This window comes from Homo sapiens, chromosome 3 (genome assembly GCF_000001405.40).
Source record: "Homo sapiens chromosome 3, GRCh38.p14 Primary Assembly".
Taxonomy (NCBI): domain Eukaryota; kingdom Metazoa; phylum Chordata; class Mammalia; order Primates; family Hominidae; genus Homo; species Homo sapiens.
In genome coordinates, this window is record NC_000003.12 from 117,984,856 (window position 1) to 118,005,540 (window position 20,685).

A 20,685-nucleotide genomic window follows, 5' to 3' on the forward strand; every position below is an offset into this window, starting at 1 on the left:
AATTCAGACATATTCAAAAAATGCTCATAATTGCTTGGGGAAGAGGAAGTAATGGACAGAAGGAGACAGAGCATTTGAAATAAGAAGATAAAGTATACTAGTGTTAAAAGTATGGATACATTAATTTCATGGGATGCTTGTGGCTGAAATTCTATACCCAAATTAACATGTTGGAACTGAGAGAGACAATAATTTCCTTTATTATGATATGAAACTAGTTTTCCTTAAAACTGACACCAAAAGCAGATATTAACAATGAGGCTTCTTTATTATTTAATGAAAACTAGAAGTAAAAAACAAACACTAGAATTTTTTTTTTAATGACTGATAAAAAGGTGTTTATAACTGCTCCCTATGATAGACATTTGCAGCATGAATTAGAAAGTGGGGCCTGGGGAGACAGGAGTCTGACAAAAGTAGCTGCAGAAATTAGCTGTGTGTAACAAAATTCAACCCCACATCCTGGTGGTAGAGGGAAATCCAAAGAAATCAATCAAAAATGTTATTTAATTTTAGAAAAGGGGACAGTGATAAAATGACATCATTAGTAAAGAAAAACTACAAATAAATATATATAATGCACAAGATATCTTAAAGGTCTTAAAAACTTCTTCAAGCCTTGAGTAAATGTGGGTCTTGGAAAAAAAATAAAGGCAAAGCTTGTAAAATGTCATTTATTAGCAATAGGTAAACTACGAGAGGTATTCAAAGGCAAAGGGAAAACATAAAAAATACAGAATATACATATTAAAAAAAAATAAGGAGGGCCACAAAATACTTCAAATATAGCTTGAGTCCCAAAATAAATGTGGAAGTGGTATACATGACAGTTTAAAGAGCCTAATAAAAGTTGTTTTTTTAAAAAAATAATTTTAGGTTCGGGGTACATGTGCAGGTTTGTTCTACAGGTAAATTCATGCCATAGGGGTTTGTTGTAAAATTTATTTTGTCACCTATGTCCTAAGCCTAGTATCCAATAGTTATTATTTTCCTTAAGGGCAGCAAAGGGAGGGAGGGGATCAGGTGAGAATCCCCCAAACTACCTGGCCACAAAGGTGAGAATGCATACTCAGGGTACAAAGGTAAAACTTAGGAAACTATATTTTTTGCCTCAGTCTTTTTCAAGGTCATTATCAGTTTCATATTTTAAAGGGAAAGTAAGATCGAAGGACGCTATGTACATATGATCTTTGAAAACAAATTGACAAACCAAATGTAGATGAGTCATCCTTGCTGAATAACATCCATCTACAAATTCTAAAAGTAACACAAAGGTGGGACCTTGAGACTGTAGATCAATGTAGATGTGTTTTTAAACTGCCACATTCTAGACAATTTGAGATTTGTCAGAAAGATTTTCCCACAACCAGTCATCGAAGAGAAGCCAAGTGAAACTTTCTCTTATAATGAAGTCAAATCCCGGTGAAAAGCATTAAACATATGATGCTCAGTCCCAGTCAGAGGCAGCACAGTAAAGAAGGAACACTGGGCTGGGAAGGAAAAGATCGGATCTTGCTATTCCACCATCTAGCATTGTATCTCACTTAAATTATTGAAATTTCTAAAGTCTCAGTTTCCTCGTTATTAAAGGGGTATAATAATCCCTAACCAAAACAAAATAAATAAAAATAGGAATTTAAGGAAATAACAATTGTGACTGTCAAATAGTAATACCTAATATTTTTAGAGCTGTCTCTACGTTGCCAGGCATTGTACTAGATGTTTTACATGCAATTATCATATTGCAGGTGTTCAATACTTTTAGCTTACGTTCTTCCCCACAGAATATTCTTGGGGTCCAAATAAGTTAGTGTATCTGAAAATACTTCATAAACTATAAATTGCTGTGAGCATATAGGTAGTTATGAAAAGATCATGGGATCTATTAACAAGGATGTATCACTGAACTGGCAACCAAACGTAAGCTATTGGAGAAAAACCAACATGGGTTCTGTAAGATGAAATAACACTGGATTAATTTGGTAGCCAATATCCTAAGGTTGTTTAAAACCACATGATCGTGAAGCAAGAACAAATTAATTGTGTATGCCATCATGTAATATCTTCCTATTTTAAAAATAAAAGCACTCACCAAAAGTGATATTCAAAAATAGGGCATTGATGAATAAATTATGATATGAGAAACTAGGCAACCATAAACAGAAATATGGTAGGTGAATATTTAATAATAGAGAAAAAGTTGCATAATATGCTATTGAAAGAAAAAAGTAAACCATAAGGTATATGTAAATCATAATCCTAATTTTGTAACTTATGAATATATATTTTGCAGGGGAGAATCTGGAATGGTATACAACAAAAAAAGTAATAGGAGCTTTTGCGATATTGAGAAACTGATTAATTTTTCATTTTCTTCCTTGTGCTTTTCTGTGTTTTCTCATTTTGCTATAATGAACACATTAATTTGTAGTGAGAAATATTTAAAAATACAAACGATTTTTTAAACCATACCACGGAAAACCCTAGCTTCTTCACTCATTCTAAGAATATAAAAAAAGCAAGCTTTGCTTCAGAATGCAATGGGAAGTACTTCAACGTTCCTTCAGTGTTGCCAAGGTTTATTTAACAATATTTTCTCACCATATATTATACAAGAACAGAACTAAACAGATGGTCTACATCGAAAACTCAGCAATCTAGGAAAAGCTATCCTCACTCTACCTATTCATCATATACTACATTGTATATATAACATATATACACACACATACATAACTCCTTATCATCTTCTTAATAACATACATGCCTAAATCTTTCATAGATCCCACATGTCAAAGTTATCCTGCAAGCCACACCCACATCTGTGTGTGTGTTTGTTTTCAAAATATGACAGGAATACTCACACTCATTGCATGACCCTATTGACTTTAAAATTACAGTCTCACATATTTACATATTTGTAGACTTTATACAAAAAAAATCTATATAACTTGGAACTTCCAAGGAACAAAGGCAAAGCTTGAATTTGACTCTGTATTATGTATGCAAATGGTATGTTGGCATTGAATTAGTCTTCCAGAAGCAACATTTCCTTTATGTCACTTCCTTCCTGGACCAATCAATGGCCCTTTCTTTCTTTCAGGATGAAGTACAAATGGCTAAGCCTGGCATCCAAGGTTCACCCTGTGTCTCCAGGCTTCCTTGGCAATACTTTCCAATATAAACCTTTAACTCCACTCAGGCCAGAGTCTATACTATAACTCATATACAGAATGAACATTCTTTTCTCTGTTCCTTTGTTTGTGTTATTTTCCCCAACGGAAATAGACTTCATCTTTTTCTTCCCCCTATAAATTCTCGTATCCTTCAATATCAGGCTTAAGTCCATGTCCATACTACATTCCCATCCTCTGATTTCTCTCAATTCATTTTCTGAAAATTCTGCTTTATACTTTATCACACTTCATCTACAGATCTTAGGAAACTATTTCTTAAGAATACTAGACACTAAAAAAATTCATATTGAATTAAGCTTAAATGTCCAGTGGTATAAATTTTTATAGAAATAAGGTTTAATATGTACCAAGAAAGAGCTGATTATATGATTTTAGTGACTTAATTATAAATAAATGGTGCTGCTACCAAGTTTTTTTTAAGTTTGGCTCTTTTAAATCTGGCTATAAAATTAGGTCAGCAAGATCTTCTCCTTGAAAAGATTTTGTTGGGAATTAGTCTTTTTGTATGTATTTGAATGTAATAAAATGGTACTTCTTTAAAAATAGTATTTAATTGAGCCATTTTGCTAATTAAGACTAGACTTCTCCCCAATCGGAATAAAATCATAGACTCGTTCTAATTTTTTGAGCTCAAAGACACCTTAGAGATTATTTCCAGAATCAGAGAGTAACTTGCCCAAGGCCACATAGGTGGTTAGTCAAACATGACTTTTCTTTTAATTCTGTAAGTCGTTCTCTTTTATACTATTGCTTAGGGTTGGCAGCATGATATAAGGAAAAGAAACTGCATTTGGAGACAGAGGCCCAGGGTTCAAAACCAAGCCCGGTTTTTACTTGCATTAAGCCTCTTTCCTCAGCTAAAGAGTGGAAATTATAGAATATGACCTCACAGAGTTGTTGATAATAGGTAGGTAATAGGTGATAGGCAAATCTATGCACAGCCACTTTAAACTGTAAAGTTTGTATCCCGTGCCTAACCTGCAATGGTTGTTTACACACCTACATACAAGAGATCCTCTGTGAACTAAGCCCTGTTGATTCCATCCCTGAATCTCTCTTCTGTGTATTCACCTCATCTCCAATGTCACAATCTTAGTCTACACCACCATTTTCTTTCTTGTTACATAGTGAAAGCCTCTAAATCAGCTTCTTCCCAGTTACTCATCCTTTTCTCACACGGCAGCCAGAGTCCTCTTCTAAAAGCTCCTACTTCAAGTGGCACCTTCCTGCTTTAAAACTCATCAGTGCTTTCCCTCAATTTCCCCTTTGGACTAAATCCCATATTCTTGCAATGTCCCTAAAGGCCCTGCAGTGTTGGGCTTACTTAATTCCTCCAGACTTACCTTCTGTCACTTTCCTCTTTGGTCCTTGCACTCCTTCTATTCCTTCAGTTCCTGGGTTATGTTGGTCTCTTTCATACCTTAAAGCCTTGGCAAGACTTCTCATTGCTGTTAAAGCTCTCTCCACCTGCGTCTGCACATAGCTAACTCCTACTCATAATTTAAACTCCAATTACATGTTAATTCCTTAAGCAAAGACTTTCTTAACTCCCCAGACTAAACTGAGTCTCCCTAAAATATAATTTCATAGTACCCTAAACTCTCCTTCTTTAGGTATTATCACAGTGGCAATTAATTTATTATCTTTTATGTGTCTGTCTCCCTTGCTATAAGGTTTATGAATGTGTTTGCTTAAGGCTTAACAAATATTTATGGAAGGAAGAAGGAAAAAAAAAATAAACAGAAGTCTATTAGTTGTTTTTCTTGCATATCCCCCACTTTCCTATATTCTGTGCCTTGTATATACCCCAGCTAGCTGAAATAACTACCCATTCATCACACTACACACATCATACCAACAAAAATAACTTTAAACCCACAGAATGCCCACTGTTCGTTCACCTTCCTCCTCATCACAAACCACATTATTGCCTAACGGGAAAGATAGGAAATTAAAATTTCAGTAACAAAACCATAGTTGTTACTAGGAGCAGTTTCAAGCCTGCATCTGTTATGCCAGCACAGGTTTGTATCAGGTCAGTAGAATTGTCTTATCTCTGTTACTTGAGGCAGAAATCACCAGGCAGTTTCTTTCCATTCCCATGTAGACAGAGGATCCCCAGTGGAAAGCTGGCCTGGTTGTGTGGGCTGTCTGGACTCAACTGACCCAGCCAGAATGCCCTTGATAATTTGTCAGAGGCAGCTAATCTGGGTTTTTTCCTAGCTGTTTGCTGTTCTCTCCTTAGGAGATAGAATCACAAATATCTCCTCTTGGGAGTAGGATATACCTTCTAGGGCTGCCAGGTTGGAGGAAGGAGATATCACAGGAGGTGGAAAAATAAACTTCCCTTCCCACCCACTCTTGGGAGTACACAAGTGCCTTCTGAAATAGAGAAAAGAGGGCAGGTCCCTGAATCAGGGAAGACATCCATATAAATTCTTGTTTCCTCATCAAACACTTGGCATTCATTCAATTTAAAAACTAAATTGTATTGTTGGCTTAAATGTGACCAATTCTACACTTGAAATAAGGCCCTATAAATGGTTCAAGAGAAGTCCTTGATATAATTGATAGTCAATGGAAGGCAAATACTCATTATACATGTCAATAATGCCAGCATATTTCCTTGCATAACTTTCTATTTGTTTCTGACTTTTTTCACACTAAAATAAGAAAGAAGAAACACAGAAGACAAGGTATGAAGGTTATTTGAGCAGCAGAGTTCTGGTCTGCTGACACCCTTAGCGAGATTCATTAATCTTGGAGATTCTCACTCTCATTTACTAAACAACAGTGATTCACACAGAGTTACACAGCCACAGTGGCAAAGTTAATTGGAATCTAGTTCCCCTAACATTTCTTCCTTCCTTCAGCTATTCCTCAATAATGCAAGCTAAAATATTAAGTGAGGCTTAATACTCTTATGAAAAAAGGAAAACAAATAAAGGGTGTTAGCACAGAATTAAAGGTAGACATGTTTCACTTTGTTTTGTTTTGTTTTGTGTTTGGCTTTATCCCTTTGAGCAAAACAAGAAGGCAGAGGTAGTTTATGTAACCCTGTATCAATACTGGTATCTCCCTTCAGCATGAAATTAGCACTGGGAGCTCAATATGCCTCTTACCCAAGTCCAGAGAAAGAAAGAAAGGATGGAGGAAGGGAGAAAGAGACAGCTATGAACACTGGTAAATTCTGTTCAGTTAGTGGCAAGCAGCCAGATAATCCCTTTTAATTTAACTCTTTATTTTATCTGGCAGAAGCAAATATTTCATTTTCTTAAAGCTTTATAAATTTTAAAGTATGCATAATCACATGTGACAGGCACTACTATCCCAATCCAGTAAATGAGGAAACTGAGACTCCCGTGAGAGTATTATCTATGTTTTATCAGGAATTATTAGTGAATTTAAGACCAGTATCTAAGTTGTCTAATGTGTACCTCAGTGTTCCTTCCACATGAGGATCTTACCTACTAAGTGTCCAGACGAGCACTGCTTATGTTGGCAGCATAGACGCTTTTAAGTAAAGAAGATAGAGAATACAAGAAAATCATGAGTGGTGGAGAGGTAATGGTACACAATGAAGATTCACTTAAGAAAAATGTTTCTGTATTCCTCATTTCAAATATGCCAAGCAGGGTAGAGAGGTATACAGTGACAAAAATGTACTATGTAAGCAACTATGATTTAAAAAGATCTTCATGTTAGAAATATTGTTATGTGCTAGAAGATGCTGTGGCTTCAGTATCTGACCCGAATTGTGTAAAAGGAGTCATAGACTTCTGATGTTGAGGGTTATCAAATGAAATAAGAAAAGAAATCCAAACACTTCTCATCAATTTATTTACTTCCAGGCTGTACTGTGCTTTTCTAGATTAATAAACCATACTAAATAACTTCCACAAAAATATATCATATATTGTTTTCTGCAGTCATGGTAATTTGAGCTGGGGGTTTTTGTTATAAGTAATAATCATCACTGAAGGCTTGTTACAAGGTCTGTTCCACTACCCATAAAATCTAGAAGACTACACTCGATAAAGGGTAAAGTCTATATTTTTCAGAATGTTAATGTTACTATTATTATTGTTATTATTTTGAGAAAGGATCTCACTCTTGTCTTGCAGGCTAGAGTGCAATGATGCAGTAACAGTTCATTGCAGCCTCAATTTCCTAGGCTCATGTAATCCCCCCAACCTCAGCCTCCCAAATAGCTAAGACTACAGGTGCACACCACCATGCCAGGCTAATTTTTTTCTGTTTTGTAGAAACAGGGTCTTTCCATGTTGCCAACGCTCATCTTGAACTCCTGGGCTCAAGTAATCCTTCTGCATTTGTTTCCCAAAGTGCTGGGATTACAGGCATGAGCCACCATGTCTGGCCTAGTATTATTTTTAAGTAAGTAGGGTCAAACACTTATTTGGAATGCAATTTTTTTTTTTTTTTTGAGATGGAGTTTCACTCTTGTTGCCCAGGCTGGAGTGTAGTGGCATGATCTCAGCTTACTGCAAGCTCCACCTTCTGGTTTCAAGCGGTTCTCCTGCCTGAGCTTCCTGAGTAACTGGGATTACAGGTGCCTGCCACCACACCCAGCTAATTTATGTGTTTTTAGTAGAGATGGAGTTTCACCATATTGACCAGGCTGGTCTTGAACTCCGGACCTCGTGATCTGCCAGTCTCAGCCTCCCTCCCAAAGTGCTGGGATTACAGGCATGAGCCACCACACCTTTTTTTTTTTTTTTTTTTTTAAAGGAGCTAAGTTTCTCCTGTATCTTAAACAGAGAGGCTTCATAGTGTAGTCAATGCTCATCATTGACTCAGTTCTAGGTTACCAATGTTGCTGGAAACAAAGGAGATAACATCAAAAATCCTACCTAGCAGAAAACTATACCTTATGGATGGTGCTTTAAATCTTTTAAAATTACTTGGGTAAGTCAAATTAGAAATAGGTCAGGCACGGTGGCTTACACCTGTAATAACAGTGCTTTGAGAGGCCAAGGCCAGAGCGTCACTGAGGTCATGAATTCAAGATCAGCCTGGGCAACATAGTAAGATCCCATTTCTACAAAAAAGAAAAATAAAAAACAACATTAGCTGGGAATGGTGGTGTGTGCCTGTAGTCTAAGCTACTTGGGAAGCTGAGGTGGCAGGATCCTTTGAGCTAGGGAGCTTGAGGTTACAGTGAGCTATTATCATGCCACTGAACTCCAGCCTGGGTGACAGAGACAGTGCCTCTTGAAAAAATCTTTTAATTAGTTGCTATTGTACTTAATATTAAAACAATATACATCTTGGACTCTAAAATATATTTCCTGAAGGGTATCATTTTTATTCTTTGGCAGAGGCACTTGTCAAAAACCTCTAAAGAGATTTCACCAACTCGTTTTCATTGGAACTATTGGGAGGAGGCTGGGGAGTGCCGCTGTGAGCAGTTTAGACAGAGCTCTTAATGGAAGCCTCATAGTAGTTGGACAGAACATTCCCATCCTAGGCATTTCTGCTGCTCCCTCACTAATCAGCAGCAGCACTCCCTGCTCTTCTGGTGTTGGGGTTGGGGGTTTGTCGGCTAAGCTGCCTCTGCTGCAGTGTCACTACATTCTTCTCTTCTCCTGGAAGCAGCCCAAATATGGCTGCAGGCAGAAGCCAAGGAAACCTTCATGCCCAGGTGAACCAGAGATGGGGGTGGGATGGGCCAAGTGGAATCCATCTCTTCTGCAGTACCAAAAGGGCACAGGGCTACTGCCATCCCATATGCCAAAGGGAGAAAATAGAGCCAACCTCAGAGCAAAGCAGTGGCTGCTCTCTGGCTCTGGATCTGGAGCATGAGAAAGAAGAGACAGATGCCAGATGACAAACAGACCTGGCCAGATCTAAGCCAATGAAGCAGGACCTCAAACTAAGCTGGGAACAAATGGAAAGTCCTGAGAAAAGTGGTTTTTTTTGTTTGTTTGTGTGTGTGTATGGGTTTGCTTTCTTTGCTTAATCAAAGTTACAGGTAAATTGATGATATTAGTACACTCATGAATATCTAAAAAACTTTCTTCTGGAAACCTCAGAGACCCTTTATCAATGGAGATGTCATTAATATAAACTACAGTTGCCAGGATATCAAGGATGAAACCTGGCTGGGCCATTATATAACCTTCTCGTCATTGCACAAAAGGTTAGAAGTTCTCCCTACCAACATCACAAGGACATTGCATAGATGAATATACTCAACTATATCAAAGTACTCTAGGATATTTGGAAAAAGAACAACAGAGAAAAAACTATAGTTTTTATTCACATGTGAACACATCTTGACTAAGCTATCTTTTATGATCTATTTCAAAATAATGATAATGATTATTATATCATTCATGAAAAACAGAACATAATTATTACTGAACCTCAAGAATATATGCCCGACTTGCCCATGGTCACAAAATAATGACTTAGACTAAATAGTCTTTTTCTCATGGGGCAAGCCCAAATCATTCTGTAAATATCCCTCCACCTCAGAACCACATAGCCTCAAGTACTTACATTAAACATTCTTGAACAAATGTATTCTAATTAACAATGAACACCAAGAACAGCATTAATCTGTGAATCCATGAACATAATGGTAAGAAACAGCAGAAGCAACTGTGCTGAAGAATGGAGATAGTAAACAAGGGATGGGGCCAATTCAAAAGGGCCACATACTTTGACACTGAGGAGTGTGTACGTGTGTGTCCACATGTACATATGTGTAAGAGAGAGGAGAGCATGTTGTCAGGAAACAGTTCAAGCCCTGCCATGATGATGGCAGGAGATAATGTGTATGGCAGTTGTTTGCGAGTGATCTCCATGTTTCTTAGCCTCATCCAGCTGCACTGCCTTCTTCTCCTATCCCATTACTCAACGTTACTGCTGCCTAGTGTGTGCCACACACTGGGGGATCCCAAAGCTTGAGAACTGAGGCCACTTCCCACAATGTGCTAAACTCTATTTAGCAAAATCTTGAAAACTCCTCTTTAGAAAGAACAATATTCCCGGGGAGGAAAAGCTATTTGCTTTGCCCAAATGAGACCAGAAAATTCAGAGAATTGTTACTATAGTTTACTATGTTATCACTGAAAAAGACTGGGGGGCTTTTTTTTTTAATAGAAGATCTCCTGAAATATAATTATCTGGTTTCGTGTTCCATTACACCTTCCTCATCCTTTAGAAGTACCTTTCACTCATAAGACCCCATGGCTGAGTAATGAATATCCCATAGTTTTACTCAAACTTAAGAGGAGCATGTATTCATGACATCATTCTTAGCATTTTATCAGAAGAGCTAAATTCCTAGAGTTAAATGGAATAGGAAGGAAAGGGATTAACCTCTGCTGCTGGCATAGTACAGTCACGATGCTAATGTCTCAATATGAAAAAGCTGAATTGCAGCAATATCTGAAATCACAGAGAAAGTCCTGTGAGCTTTGAAGGAAAAAATGTAAAGAAATAAAATGTAAAAAGCCAAAGCAAGATTGGGACTCTATTTTTCATTTAGACATGCTTAGTAGAAGAATCATGTATTGCAAGAGCTCACAAATTAGATAGGAGAGGAATGGGTCAGTGAGTTCTGAGATGAGAAAGTTTTTAGAACCTGTAACTTGTAATTGTATTATGGGTGAGTTCCAGCTGTTCCCCTAAGCATATTTTAAACTATAACTTCGACATAGTATTCATTCCCTTGCAATGCTTCAACAGTAAACAGCCAGGGAGTCTATTCTCTTTTCATTTAGCAAGAGGGCTTTATAGCTACACAAAATATCCCCCAGCAATGAAAAATGAAACCCACCAATGTAACATTAGCAACCAGCTGTCAGAAAAAAATCAGGAGTAGGATTGCCAGTCTGGTCATTTCATGCCAAGTGTTCTTGAGAGGCAGTGTGTGTGCGTATGTGTCTTTGTGTGTGCATGTGTACACTGTGTGTAAATGGAGTGTGTTCTGTAGCATGAGAGATGTGCGTGGGTAAATGTCCTAATGATGGCAGAATGCCCAAACATGAAGATGTAGTAGAACCGTCAGTGGTAGAGCAATATAGCACAGACTCTCTATGGCTAATTGTGCAAGGTTCCTCTCACGAGCAGGAAGAGTGAGACAGGAAGATTAAAAAGATAATATATTTTTATGTTGGAATTACTTCGTGTATTATAGGTATGTTTAACATCAGTGAGGGCTCTGGATGCCAGCTTGTAAGTGAAATGCAAACACCATGTATGTATTTTCATTTTTAACCTTCATGAATTTATTTTACAACCTCCCCAAAACATAGAAACCTACAATCCCTTCAAAGTAAACACCCAGCGCTAGCAATTTTGTCCTGCAAGCATGAAATACATTGACCATTATGAGCCAGCGCAGCGATTACCCGTGAATTCTCGTATTCATTCTCTCTCTCTCTCTCTCTCTCTCCCCCACCCCACTCTCTTCCTCCCTCCCTCTTCTCCTCCTCCCCCCCTCCCCGTGTCCCCCTCCCCCCACCCCACTCACCGTTCCCTTCCCTCCCGCATCCCTCCTCCATCTCGGGGCAGAAGAATCTGGTGGGGCTATTTTGCAGAGAGATACAAGTACCAGGTGCCAAGCGGATACCTAGCCTCCTAAACTTAATGCCAATTCCCTCCTGAAAGAGGAGGAATGCAGTGATATCAGCACCGGGGACACGGGGATAGCGAACACCACCGCGGCTCTTGGAGTTTACAGAGGAGCAACCCCAGCTCCGTCGCCACCACCTCGCGCAAAAGCCCCCACCCCACCAAGACACACACACACACACACACACACACACACACACACACACAAAACACGCCGCTCTATCCTGCCCCCCGTTCACACGCGCGCGCGCACACACACACACACACACACACACACACACACACACACACAAGCCCTGGCTTCTTTCCCCATCAACACCGATGTTGCAGCAAGTCTGTCCGCACAATCCCGCACGCCTCAGGACCCAGCCTGGGCGCAGAGCTGGCAGGGCAGGGAGCGCACCGCAGGACTTGTAAATAAACCCTGTTCCATCCAGAACCGGAGCGCTTCTTACTCCACCGACCACCCCGGAGCCCGGCGGCAGGGAGGAGGGGGCGCAAGGGGTCAGGGAATCCTCCCCCTACCTTGCAATGAGAAGAGGGACAGGAAAAAGCCCAGCACCCAGACGCTGTGCAGCCAGTAGGTCCTCATGTCTCCGCTGCGCTCGATGCTCCCTCGCGCGCTCCTGCTCTCGCCTCTTCCGCTCGCGCTCTCTCTAGTAAAACGCGCCGCTCCTTTCCCTCGGTTTCCCTCTGGGTTCTCCTGGTTCCGGCAACCCGGACAGACAAGCCTCTTGCCGCACGACGGCCGGATCCCAGAACAGCCTTGCTCTCCTCTTCGGGAGCGCAAGCCAGGGGCCGGGATGGACGCTCGTAGCCCGTGCCTGGTGTAAACACACCGAGCCCCCTTGTCCCTCGAGCTCTCCCGCTTTCCTGCTTCCTATCCTCCTCTCCCTCACTCCCCTGCAGCTTCAACTAAATGCGATGTACTTAAACAAGCAGCGCCTTATAGGACCGCGAACCGAGCCGAAAGGGCCCCGCTACTGCCATCTAGTGCTCACAGAACGGCATCGCCGCGGCTCTTCTTCGCTGTGTGTCTGTGCCAAGTCTATCCAACGCCGCCAAAGTCCCCTCTGCTCTCAGCAAACACAGGTGAAGCTCTTGCCTTCTTAAATCCTTGACTTGACCTTGCTGTCCCATAAGTCCTGAATTTCTCCTTTTCACGAGGAAGCTCTTGGAACATGCTAGCCGCACATCTTCATCACCTCATTGCTCCTCTCCCTCTCAGAAATCTCCAGTGCTTTCCTAACAACTCTATGGAAATTTTTCTCCAAATGTCACCATGACCTCCACCAAAAAGTCCAATGGCCTTTTGAAGCCTCATCCTACTTGATTTTGATGCTGCGCTTCACAGCGTGTGCCATTCCTTTTTATTTGATTTCAAAGTCACTGGGTCAAAACAATTCTGGCACTTCTGACCTTCCCTCCAAGAGCCCTCTGGGTTCCTCTGCACTTCTTGGTTTATATCTTCTGTTATAATTTCTTTAAGTTACTTGGAAATAAAAGGTCTATTACAGCTACACGAGGATGGAAACCTCCACCACTAACCTCGTGCTTAGCCCTCAGCTTAGACTTCCCAGCTGGGTACCAAGCATCTCAAACTGGATGACTCAGGGCCAGGGCTGAGTTGGGTGAGTAGGCAGATGGGGCCGCTCTGAAGAGCACTGACTAGTAGTTAGGAAAGCTGGATTTCAGTTCTGTTACTGTGGCCTCCACTCGTTGGGGACCTTAACTAAGTCATTCAATCTCTGAATTTCATTTTATTCATCCATGTATTTACATGATAATGAATATTGGTCCCTTCCAACTGTTTGTAATATCTATGCTAGGTTTCTCCACCTTGGCACTACTGACATACTGTACCAGATAATTCTTTACTGTGTGGGGCTGTCTTGTGCACTATAGGATTTATAGCAACATCCCTAGCTTCTGTCCACCAGCTGACAGTAGCACAACCCTCATCCTCCTAGTTATGACAACCAAAAACATCTCCAGGCATTGCCAAATGCCCCCTGGAGGGAAAAACTGACCCAGTTGAGAACTTCTTATCTATACCCACGTGATTTTCTTCAGGAATTATTCCCCTTTTCCAACTTCCCTGTTTCACAGGCTTCAAGAACTTTTAGAAGTATATTTAATTCTCTCTTCTCCAATTTCAGTTGATCATCAGTCTCACCACGACAATGTGTAAATGTGTCTAAGATGTCTCTATGTTTTTTTTTCAGTTTTACTGCCACCTTTTTCATAATAAACACGTGTTGTGCATTATACTTTCTGAAATACTTTTAATTATCTCTAATGCTGTGATATGTTCAAGGGCTATGTTAGCTCTTCGAGCATTAGTGGGAAATGCAGACAAAGACAAGTTAAGTGACTTTTCTTATGACATACGATAGGCCAGTGAAAGCAACATTAGCAGACCTGAAGGAGGTCTCCTGACTCTAGCAGCATTCCTGATCCATCTCTCTAGTATGGGTCTTTATTGCCACACCCCTAGATTTCTACAATAGCCTTCTACCTGATCCCTTTCCTCCATTCACTGCTCTAATCTAGTTTATACGTTACCACCAGGTTAATCTTGTTAACAGTTTCTTCAAGACTCTCACCTGCTTATGAGTTATAGCTGCTCCTTATGGTCTTCTAGAACCATACTAGAATCACCTGAGGACTTTTGCTGACGCATCATCCCACCCCAAACCAATTAGATCACAATTTTTGGGTTGCAGCCCTAGCATCCGGAGTATTTTAAAGATCTCAGGCCATCCTAATCTGCAACCAGGGCTGAAAAACACTAACCTACCAGACAGAATTCAGATTCTTCATTTTTAAAATGTAAGGTCTTCTGAAATTTCTTATCTTACCTTTAACAATTTATTTTTTTTTCAATCCCCAATGGAGACACTTTCTTCTAGATTGCTCAGTCTTCTTTTTTCCCCATGCACTTCCTTTATCTGCTGCTTGTTTGTCTTGCCAAGTCTGTTCCATTCTCAGGAGGCAATTTGCAAGTGGCCAGAGCATAGACTTTGAATCTAGAACTAGATGGATTCAAGTCCTACCATGCCTTTAACAAATGGAGAGACCTTGCAAAAGTCTCAAAGGACTTTTGTGAGTATAACTCATGAAGTACTTAATAAATAATGTCTAGTGGTATTGTTTTTCAAGGATCAACCTTGATTTCTTCAATGTTAATGCATGTCTTAGTAAGGTTTCTCAAAATACAATCAATTTAAGAACCCAGATGCAATAGAATCACAGTGTACATGTTAAAATTCCAGATTACTTAGTCATACACACAACCTAGTCTATTAATATATTTGGATGTTGGAGTCCAGGAATCTGCATTTTACTAGTATATCTAGGTGATTCTTTTGCCCTCTAATGATTGAAAAATCATTCTATAAGAACCACAAAGTGTTAAGAGTTGTGAGAAATTGTTTGCTCATGTAGTCCAGTTTCTCAGCCTCAGCACCCTTGACATTTTGGCCCAGATAATTCTTTGTTGTATGGGGCTGTCCTTTTTATTGCAAGATGTTGAGCAGTGTCCTTGACCTCTACCCACTACATGCCACTAGCAGACCCCTCTCCTCAAAGTATGACAAACAAAAATATCTCCAGAAATCCTATATGTTGCCTGGGAAACTAATTTCCCCCCACCCCAGCCACGCCCATGGAGTACAACTTGTCTAGTCCAAACCTCATTATAAGATAAGAAAACTGAGTTTCAAGGAAATCGCATGACTTGCTAAATCTTGTAGTTTATATTTGGATTTGCCAGAGCCACAAAATGTGTTGCATCAGACTTTGTGATCTCCCTACATTATACTTAGAATGACTTCCAACAATTCTTTAAAATTCTTTCAAAATTGTTCTTGATGCCTAAATTAGATATTTTCCTGCAATATATACTTACTGGCTATAATATCTTTCTGTTTGTTTCTGTATTACTTTAAATAATCAATCCTAATTAATTTCTATGTCTTTGTCATGATTTTCCAAATTGATTTGTAAACACCGCTGCCAATTATCATGTATTAATCACAGAGCCTAGCAGAGTGCTAGATGGGCAGACATTTCTCGAGTATAGCTAGCAGTAGAATAATTACTTGTTTGCGTGTGGTCAGAGGGAGCTTATGCATTCATATATCAATTGTCCAGATATCAAAGTTTTCTTAGATGTAATATATGCTTAGAGACCGTTTGCATAAATATTCATTTTTTTTCAGCGAATGAATGTATCCCATGTTATTTCTGCCCACGCCCTTCACTTTAGTTCAGGTACACTGTTTACAACATAGGAAAGTGGTTCTCAAATTGGTTGGGTAAAGAACTTGTAGAAATTGCATAAATAGCAGACATTCAGGCCCTATCCCCAGAGGCTTTAATTTGCATGTGCATGGGGCTACAGGTCAGTCTGATACCTTGCCAGAGTTCAGGAAATCTAAACTTGAAGATTTGTGTGTGTGTGCGCGTGTGTGTTTAGTATGTTTTGTTGGAAATTTCTGAATGCAAAACTTTGCCCACATTCTTTGACGTTCAATTTATTATATATTCGTGTGGATGACATCCTTCTTAATATCATGGTGGAAGACATACCTGTATATACGGACAGGACATATTTGTATACACAGGTAGAAATTATGTAACTCTCCATCATCACTATTGTTCTAAAAAGCTAATTTGGTCACAAATTCACATAGTTACATACTTACATAGCGTAAGTAAAATAAATAATAGAAACCCTTTCTAGCTTTTTACCTGAGGGCATTTTTTTCCCCTCCCTACAGCTGCCTTCCACTCCAACAAAATCTCAAAGTTTATAAAGCCTGTCAACTTCCATTGCTAATTCTCAGTAATGGGATTGTAATTCGCTTTGGGAAGCTTCCCTGTATTACTGTTAAGTCATTTGCATTCCATAGGATGATTTGTGTTCTGATGAGTCCAGGAATTCCTAGAAGTCTCTTTCCTACCCCGCCCCCTCTTTCATTTGGAGTCTCCTTTTCTGAGTAGCAGCAGAAGCCAAAAGAAAGAAAGAAAAAAACCTTGCATTGCAAGTACAATTAGATCTATGTCTGTAGAAGTGCCTTTTGTCCAGAGACCCCTTAGGATACTATACTGAGACACTGAGCTGAAAAAGGAAAGATGATTTTTTTAACAGATGGGTTGCCTATTTTTGCCCTTCCTACATTAGAGCTGTTTTTTCCCCTTCTCTAAACTAGAGAACTATCATCCTGTAGTGGTATACAACTGTCATTCATTCCTGCCTATATTATACTGTGACTACTTGACTTTAGGCAAGAGAAGGTGATATGCACAATATCTCCCATAATAGACTTTGCAATCTGGCCTGTGGGTTTCTTTTGACTGTCCCAATGCCTGCCAGAGCAGTTTTCACAGATCTAGGAAATGGCTACATAATTTATGTGGAATCAGAAAATGAAAAACAAGAATGCAGATTTTTGCGGGTTTCTGAAATAAAACAAGTCCAACTCCAGATTGAAAGGCCTAGAGTAATTGTGCTCATCTAATAATAATAATATTTTGTGGTTATACAGCTACTTCACATGCATGGTCTCATTAATATAGCAATGGAGACAATTTCAGAAGGTAGAAATTTATCTTCTTGCCTTTGAATTATTTTATCCTGGAAGTTTAGAGCTAAAAAAGGAAACGCTGTAATTTGATGTGTCAAGAAACCAAACAGTAGAGCTTCAAGTGAAAGAACTTCGGTGCTTGAAAGGACTTTAGATGAGGCACTGTGGTGTAGAAGAAAAATCTAGCTGTAACATCAGACAGATGTGGGCTTTTCCACTCACCAAGGTGTGGCCCTGGGTAAATAACTTTTCTGAGCTCTAGTGCTTTCCCTAGGGTCAAGAGAATCTACTGACATAAGATATATAAATTTCCTAACATACATTAAGCACTCAATGAAGGTTTGTCCGTGATTATCTCAAATACCACCACCCATCCTCTGCCTTTCCCTAATCTCATTCCCCTACCCCAGTTTTGCAAGAAGGACTAAAGCCTCTGAAACTCAAACAATGTATCCAAATTCATACAGCTCAAAAAAAAATATAGAACTCAGCCTTTCTGATTCCTAACATAGTGCCGTAACTTAGTATACAACTAAAGGCAACATTTCCCACCAACTCTGTTCCATACAATAACACTTTCTCTCCCTTAGATGTTATAATTTTTTAACTATTTACCTAAACCTAAAGAAAAATTTTAGGATTTAAAACGCGTAAGGATTGGTTAATTTTAATATAGCCTGGGGTCATCTGAGTCACATTAAACCGTGGCCAAAGAAGGACTTCTACTGAGGTGGAATGTTTACAGGTGTCAGAAATCAGGAGCTATAATATTCCCTGTTGAAGCAAAACAAATTTTTAGCCTTAAAATATTCCCATTTGCAACTGAAAAGAAAATAAACTATTCTGTCTAAAGAAATTGCTTTTGCCATCAGGATGCAAAGGGCCAAGTAAATTTGTTACCCAATAAATCTTTTGGGGCATTATATAGACATAGTCTTATATTTTGTAAAGCCTAAGCTATAAAAGCAAATAACAAAAAAGAAGAAGCTATAAATTCCAAATCTAGATGACACCTTTGTATGTAAGACTCAGGAGAGCAAAACACACTATTAAGAACAAGGAATTATAAGACCAAAATAGAGTTAGAAATGCTTCTGGTTTCTCCCCTCTTGTTCTTTCTGTTTATCATGTACTTTTAGCAGTAAGTAGAGTACTACAGCAGGACCTGACATCCTGCATTGAGCAATATGGATTGGAAGCTCCATTTCTTCTCCCTCATCCTGTGTTGATTCCAGCCCAAGATGTTTAAGAACAAACCAAACTTACAAGACAAGTTTTTGGCTGTTGACCATGTCCCAAAGACTACAAAGGGGGATTTGAACTCAGAATAGATGGCAAAATTGATCGTGCAGAAACTTGGAATCATGGTGCCTGAGCACCCTGCACTGCAGGCTCAAAAGGAAGAGTAACAAGTTTCAAAAGATTTTCCTTACACCATAAAGAGGTTTCATACTTTTTCAGCTTTATCTCACACTATACTTTCACAGGTACCTCATCCCCTAGTAGCCAAACTATCCCTCAGTCAATTGATTAATCCCTCAATCAATCTTGAGCTTTTTAAAAATTTTGCTCAAGCCACTCACCTGTGTCACCATTTGTTTTCTTCACTCTATGTCCATGTATCAGAATCCTTCCTACCTTACATTCCAGGAGCACTTTAAATACATTCATGAAGCAAGAGTTTGTTTATTGTATTCACCATCATGTCCTTGGGCATAAGCATAGTTCCTGGTACTTAACAGGTATTTCTAAACATATCTGTTGAATAAAGAAATGTCTTTCATTTGCCCTTGTGGACATGAACCACCTGTCATGCTTTGTACAACTCATGTGATGAGTCCTTGACTATAGTTGTATGTATGGGTAATATCTTTGCTATTCAACTGCAAGTTCACTGAGGGCAATGACCAGGCCACTGAACATAGCCACTGCATCCTTATGTATTGTTTTAAGCATGCAGTCACAATAAAATAAATAAATTACTACATGAAGAATGAACTCAACCTGAGGTTTTGAGAGGACCATCTTAACTATCTGAACCAGAAATAAGTGCTATGTGAAACTGAGCAAATTCAAGAGCAAATAAAAAGTAGAATTCCTATATCTAGCCACCTGAGAGTAAGTCAATATTTAAAAGTCTATTAAAGAGGATCATTATTTTTCTAAAAATATATACATACCATCAACACTTTATTTTAATTTAAAGCTTACAAATGTACATGTATGTACCACCATTTTGATGTAAGCTCAAGGTGTTTTCTTTGAATAGGCCCATTATTTAAACAAACAGTCAAAAATATTTAAGATACCTGTGAAAAATCTGAGCATGGGATTTCTTTCAGATTTTACAACTTACACTAAATCTTTTACAGTTGTCTCACCGCCGACCGAATTTAACAGCATATTTTACAGCTCACCATTAACACATATTTTCAAAGCATTCAACATAGTTTTTATTAAAATCTTTTTCTTTTGTTCTCATTATTTGTTTGTTTTGAATAGTAATTAGTTAAAATATATAATTACAATAGAATGTAAAGCTGACATAAGTATGTTTGGAAAAATACTAGACACCTAATAAATATATAATTTAGCTGATGGGAGAAGAACATTGAATGTCGAGGAGGTCTACTGATCAGTGGGCCTCAGTAAGACTAGATGGAACAGAGTGATGGTTGATTGGTCAACTGGTTAAGAGATCTCCTGTAATACAAATACATCAAGAGATAATTGCCATTGTATATCTTTAATCTCAAAATGCTTAAAGAACATTGATATCTCAGAACAAATAATGTTTATAACAACATAAAAGGAATCCATGTACAAGCCTCAGATGTATTCCCAAAAATATATTTTATTTGTACATGTATTCTCAAACATGTATTTTGTTAATAATGAGGTACCTGTATTTACCCATTTAAAAAACATGCCTAAGCTTACTATTATCATATACATAATTCTTGTTATTTCTATCACATACATGTTTATTATAGTTTTATTATTTTAGGAATGAAAGAGATCTATGGATAATTCAAGATAAAAGTAGTCATTGATCATGCATCATAGACAGAGAGAGAGAAAAAATTATGATACACGCAAGAGAAATAAAGATAGGTGACATAGGGGTTTATGATTTAGTGGAAGGAACAAAATACAGTAAATAAAAAAGAATAATATAAGAAGAAGAGAGAACTATCATTATACTTGTTTAGACTAAACAATACATACACAAAGAAAATGCCAGCCCATTCCAGTATTCCTTAGCCAGGTGTTCTGGTCGGGCCACCATAGCT

General features: G+C 38.7%; 1 long non-coding RNA gene across 1 annotated transcript in view, besides 1 other annotated feature; it reads right to left on the reverse strand.

Annotated features, from left to right (window-relative positions):
- LINC03051 (long intergenic non-protein coding RNA 3051) overlaps positions 1–12,724 on the reverse strand; it is a 120,212-nt gene extending 107,488 nt beyond the window's left edge. Inside the window, exon 1 of the long non-coding RNA NR_182298.1 lies at positions 12,327–12,724. This is a non-coding gene — a long non-coding RNA (long intergenic non-protein coding RNA 3051). The remainder of the gene's footprint in view (positions 1–12,326) is intronic.
- Positions 12,395–12,941: an enhancer, noted in NCBI's record as "H3K4me1 hESC enhancer chr3:117716097-117716643 (GRCh37/hg19 assembly coordinates)". NCBI's record gives its function as "activates a minimal SCP1, AML or CMV promoter by ChIP-STARR-seq in naive H9 embryonic stem cells {active_cell/tissue: H9 hESC(naive)}" and the evidence as "EXISTENCE:reporter gene assay evidence [ECO:0000049][PMID:30033119]".